At 43.6% G+C, this 5909-nt stretch overlaps 1 long non-coding RNA gene across 1 annotated transcript; it reads left to right on the top strand.

Moving 5' to 3' along the window:
* Positions 1-2888: 2888 nt before the first annotated feature.
* On the top strand, positions 2889-5341 carry LOC100190986 (uncharacterized). Its single transcript, NR_024456.1, has one exon. It is a non-coding gene; the product is annotated as an uncharacterized LOC100190986 (long non-coding RNA).
* The last annotated feature ends 568 nt before the right edge of the window (positions 5342-5909 follow it).

Raw genomic sequence — 5909 nt, 5'->3', positions numbered from 1 at the left:
ACATATGCTAATTACACAACCTATGTAGGCAATCAATATTAAGAAAAATTTTTACTGCCCGGTATTTCTGTGGTTGAAAATGTAGAGTCTAATTTTGATCCGCAGTAACATCTAGGTTAATGTTGATTCAGAAGGAAAACGTTTGTTGTTGCCATGAGAAGAGGCATTGAAATGCTGAATCACCACCACAAATGTTACCACTATTAATATAAGGAGATACATAGGAAGATGGAATTAGACCATCTCGGACCACCAGGTTTACAATTCCACCTGCAGATACATGCAAGAAGTATTGTCACAATACTTATGTCACGTTATTCCGTTGAGGTCATCACCAACTAAGCTTATAATTAATGTGTGGTCAATTTGGTCAATGTCACCAGCGTAGCATACTAACAAAAACAAGGGTTGCAAAGTCAAATGCCTATAAGGCAGAACGTAAGACGGTAGGAAGCAAAGTCTATAGGGAGCTATATAATAGAGGCTGCAGATTCATGGCAGATTCTAAAGCACAGCAGTCCCCAACATTTTTGGCACCAGGGACCGGCTTTGTGGAAGACAATTTTTCCACAGGCGGCAAGGGATGGGGCGCAGGATGGTAATGGTCTTGGGATGAAACTGTTCCACCACAAATCATCAGGAATTAGATTCTCATAAGGAATATGCAACCTGGATCCCTCGTGTGTGCAATTCACAACAGGGTTCATGCTCCTGTAAGAATCTAATGATGCTGCTGATCTGACAGGAGGCAGAGCTCAGGCAGCAATGCAAGCAATGGGGAGCAGCCAGAAATACAGACGAAGCTTCAATTGTTACCCACCATTCACCTCCTGCTCTGTGGCCCAGTTCCTAACAGGCCACAGACCAGTACATGTCCATGGCCCAGGGGTCAGGCACCCCTGCTGTGGCACATTGCTTAATAGAGGACTGTAGCAGCCATGTGCCCTGACCTTTCCTTTTTTTTTTTTTTTTTTTTTTTTTTGAGATGCCAGAAACCCAGAATTTTTTTTTTTTTTTTTTTTTTTTTTTTTTTTTAAGACAAGGTCTGGCTCTGTTGCCCAGGTTGGAGTGTAGGAGGGCGATCTCAGCTCACTGTAACATCAACCTCCCAGGCTCAAGCAATCCTCTCACTTCAGCCTCCCACGTTGCTGGGATTACAGGCACACTCCACTACACCCAGCTAATTTTTTTGTATTATTTGTAGACATGGGGTTTCGCCATGTTGCCCAGGCTAGTCTGGAATTCCTGAGGTCAAGCTGTCTGCCCATCTCAGCCTCCCAAAGTGCTGGGATTGCAGGAGTGCACCACCACACCTGGCCTGAAACCCAGATTTTATTTATTTATTTATTCATTTTTTGAGATGGAGTCTTGCTCTATTGCCTAAGCTTGAGTGCAGTGGCGCGATCTTGGCTCACTGCAACCTCCACCTCCCTGGTTCAAGCGATTCTCCTGCCTCAGCCTCCCAAAGTGCTGGGATTACAGGCATGCAACACCACACCCAGCCTGAAACCCAGATTTTTAATATGAAATCAAAGTCTTCAGACCTTGTAGGTGTCATAAAAAGCACGCTGAGGACCACTAGTTTGCAACTGCCAATCTAAAATATCATAGACATTATATCACTTCAACCACGAAAAAAAAAGTATGTGAGGCAGAAAATGGAAGCAACCATGCCTAATTTATTGTTGAATACTTTTTCCGTATACCAAGAGCTTCCTTTGCACTAGCATCTGAAACTATATCCAGAATGACACTGGTTTTCATAAAAGTGTTGATCCTCACACCTCTTTATAGTCTTGCACCTAGCACAGTGGAGTGAAACACTTTAAATAGCACTTGTTCCTTGAGTATATATGGAAAAAAGTGAAGTATTGATAAGTGCTCAGCTAATATGAGCAGCATCTCAGGAGTCTCCAATTCTTGAATTACCAGGGAGTATTTTTACCATTTTCCCCCAGTGAAAGGCCTATTTTGAGAGACTTACCCTCCAAAATGAATGTATTAAGTCATGTTCCTTTTTTTTTTTTTTTTTTTTTTTTGAGACAGGGCCTTGCTCTGTTGCCCAGGCTGGAGTGCAGTAGCATGATAGTTACAGGAAAGGGGTCCCAATCTAGACCCCAAGAGAGGGTTCTTGGATCTTGTGCAAGAAAGAATTCAGGGTGATGCCACAGTGTGAAGTGAAAGCAAGTTTATTAAGAAAGTAAAGGAGGAGGGGCACGGTGGCTCACTCCTGTAATCGCAGCACTTTGGGAGGCCGAGACAGGTGGATCACGAGGTCAGGAGATCAAGACCATCCTGGTTAACACGGTGAAACCTCATCTCTACTAAAAATACAAAAAAATTAGCCAAGTGTGGTGGCGGGTGCCTGTAGTCCCACCTACTCTGGAGGCTGAGGCAGGAGAATGGGATGAACCCGGGAGGCGAAGCTTGCAGTAAGCCGAGATCGCGCCACTGCACTCCAGCCTGGGTGACAGAGGGAGACTCCATCTCAAAAAAAAAAGAGAGAAAGTAAAGGAATAAAAGAATGGCTACCCCATAGACGGAGCAGCCGTGAGGGCTGCTGGTTGCCCATTTTTATGGTTATTTGTTGATGATATGCTAAACAAGGAGTGGATTTTTCATGCCTCCTCTTTTTAGACCATATAGGGTAACTTCTTGATGTTGCCGTGGCATTTGTAAACTGTCATGGTGCTGGTAGGAGTGTAGCAGGGAGGATGATGGGAGGTCAGTCTTGTCTCTATTTTGGTTTTGGTGGGTTTTGGCCAGCTCCTTCACTGCAACCTGTTTTATCAGCAAGGTCTTTATGACTGGTATTTTGTGCTGACCTTCTATGTCATCCTGTGACTTAGAATGCCTTAACCATCAGGGAATGCAGCCCAGTAGTTTCAGCCTCATTTTTCCCGGCTCCTATTTAAGATGGAGTTGCTCTGGTTCACACACCTCTGACATGATCATTGCCCACTGCGGCTTCCACCTCCCGGGTTCAAGAGATCCTCCTGCCTCACCCTCCCAAGGTGCTGGGACTACAGGTGTGTGCCACCAGCTCAGCTAATTTTTGTATTTTTTGTAGAGATGGTGTTTTTCCATGTTGCCCAGGCTGGTCTCAAACTCCTGGGCTCAAGCAATCCTTCTGTCTCAGCCTCCCAAAGTACTGGGATTACAGGCATGTCCCACCATGCCCAGACTAATATTTACTTTTAATCAGACTAAGATAGGGTTACTACTTGAGTTGCTATGGCTCCAGCTGAAAGAAAGCCCGTGCAGTCATATCACGCGTAAACATTTGCTTTATGCTAAAAATATGGTGGACCTGGCATTACAGCTATTACAAATCTCCTAAGATGTCTCGGGTAGTGTATTAGTTACTTTTCATACTGCTATGAAGAAATACTGGAAACTGGGTAATTTATAAAGAAAAAGAGGTTTAATGTACTCACAGTTCCACAAGGCTGGAGAGGCCTCAGAATCATGGTGGAAGGCAAAGAAGGAGCAAAAAGGTATGTCTTCCATGGCAGCAGGCAAGAGAGCACGTGCAGGGAAACTGCCCTTTATAAAACCATCAGATTTAGTGAGATGTATTCACTATCACGAGAACAGTATGGGAAAAACCTGCCCCCATGATTCGATTACCTCCTACCGGGTCCCTCCCACGACACATGGGGATTATGGGAACTACAATTCAAGATGAAATTTGGGTGGGGACGCAGCCAAACCATATCGGGTAGCAACAACCTAGGGTCAGTTTTGCAGGTGGTAAAGCCATTTACCAAGATAGTTGTAGGTAAAGAAGGGCAGATTTATTAGAGAAATTGTGAAAATATGTTGCAGTGGGCAGCTCAGCAGAGAAGGGGCTACCTGCAAAGAGGCAAGGGCTGGAGGAAAGTTTTATAGGGTCCTGCTGAAGGGTGCTACGTGTGGAATGAGGTCATTGTGCCCGCAGGTTGTTTGTGATTAGCTGTCTCTAACAATTGTTCATACAATAATTGTTCATTATTGTTCTCAACTTGGGGCTCTCCCCAACCTGGGGACCCTTCCTTATTGTTGCTTACTTATCAGGTCTCCACATAAAGGTGTGGAAACTTCATTCATTCATATCTTCAACACAAATTGTAGGTAGCCTGTTTTTTAAAACATTTATTCAACAAATATTTAGTCCAAGCCACTATTACTTACTACCTTCTCTACTATTGTATGGACTTTTAACTATCTCTGACACTATTCACTATTCTTCCACATTCTCTATTATTTATACCTATGGTAAAATTTGCCAGTTTGACCATACAACTAATACTCACAGGGAATATATAGAGTCTAGAAGAAAATATACAGGTCCTTAAAGGCTGCCCTGCCAACAAAACCATAACGCAGGAACAAACATCACAACTATGCCAAATAATCAATCCTACAATGTCCAAAATTTTACTTTAAAACTGGAATTACCAGACTTCCTTTCTGCATTAACCAGTTTAACTAGACAGTAACGAAATATTCCTACTTTATGCTGTGATAGTTTGTTTGTTTGTTTGTTTGTTTATTTATTTATTTATTTAAGACAGAGTTTCGCTCTTGTTGCCCAGGCTGGAGTGCAGTGGCACGATCTCAGCTCACCACAACCTCCGCCTCCCAGGTTCAAGCGATTCTCCTGCCTCAGCCTCCCGAGTAGCTGGGATTACAGGCATGTACCACCACGCCCGGGTAATTTTGTATTTTTAGTAGAGACGGGGGGTTTCTCCATGTTGGTCAGGCTGGTCTAGAACTCCAGACCTCAGGTGATACCCCTGCCTCAGCCTCCCAATGTGCTGGGATTACAGCTGTGAAGCCACCGCGCCCGGCTGCTGTGATAGTTGAGATGTAAACCAAAAATAAAATTCTAAGCCACCCAGTCCGACTGAATGGACCCTTCCTGTTGAGCAAGGACATTCCAAAGTAAACTGAAAAGACCAGCTTAGGCCATGATGGGAAGGGGAGGTGTCAACATGCCTCATTCTACCTTCCTCCCTCTGGAATCCAGACACAACTGACCAGCATTAACATTAAAACAGAGATCTTAAGCTGGGCACAGTGGCTCATGCCTATAATCCCAGCACTTTGGGAGGCCAAGGTGGGATCACCTGAGGTCAGAAGTTCAAGACCAGCCTGGCCAGTATGGTGAAGCCATGTCTCTACTAAAAATACAAAATTAGCCGGACATTGTGGTGCACGTCTGTCATCCCAGCAAGGCAGGCGAATCACTTGAACCCAGGAAGCAGAGGTTGCAGTGAGCCAGGATCATGCCATTGCACTCCAGCCTGGTCAACAGAGCGAGACTCCGCCTCATTAAAAAAAAAAAAAAAAAAAAAAATTAGCCGGGCGTGGTGGCGGGCACATGTAGTCCCAGCTACTAGGGAGGCTGAGGCAGGAGAATGGTGTGAACCAGGGAGGCGGAGCTTGCAGTGAGCCGAGATTGTGCCACTGCACTCCAGCCTGGACAGAAATGCATTTCATAATGCATTTTAATTGCATTAGCAGTGATTTAATTTTTTTAGATGCTAAAACTTATGGGTGAAAGTGGATTAAATGTAGCCAAATGCAACATCAAAATCTTCAGGCACAAAAACCCATTAACTTTTTCATACTCTCAGAAGGTGAACCTAATTTCAAATGAAAGCTGCCTCCAGAATATATTGTTAAGCGTATTCTAGATATAATTCATTTTGGCAAACATACTGTAGAAATTCACATAACATTTTACTGTACTAAAAGTAAATTGCCCATGTAACAAAAAATATCTTTTCAGAGCTTGAAATGAATTTTAAAGGATGACTGATGGTCCTTGGAAGAGAAACAGTAAACAAATAAGGTTTGTAGCAATGATGTATGAGTTAGAAATTGCAGTTCCAGATGATCTCTTTATTAAAGAGACGATCTAC

This window comes from Homo sapiens, chromosome 16 (assembly GCF_000001405.40).
Source record: "Homo sapiens chromosome 16, GRCh38.p14 Primary Assembly".
In the NCBI taxonomy this organism is placed as follows: Eukaryota; Metazoa; Chordata; class Mammalia; order Primates; family Hominidae; genus Homo; species Homo sapiens.
This window is presented reverse-complemented; position numbering and strand designations above follow the sequence as displayed.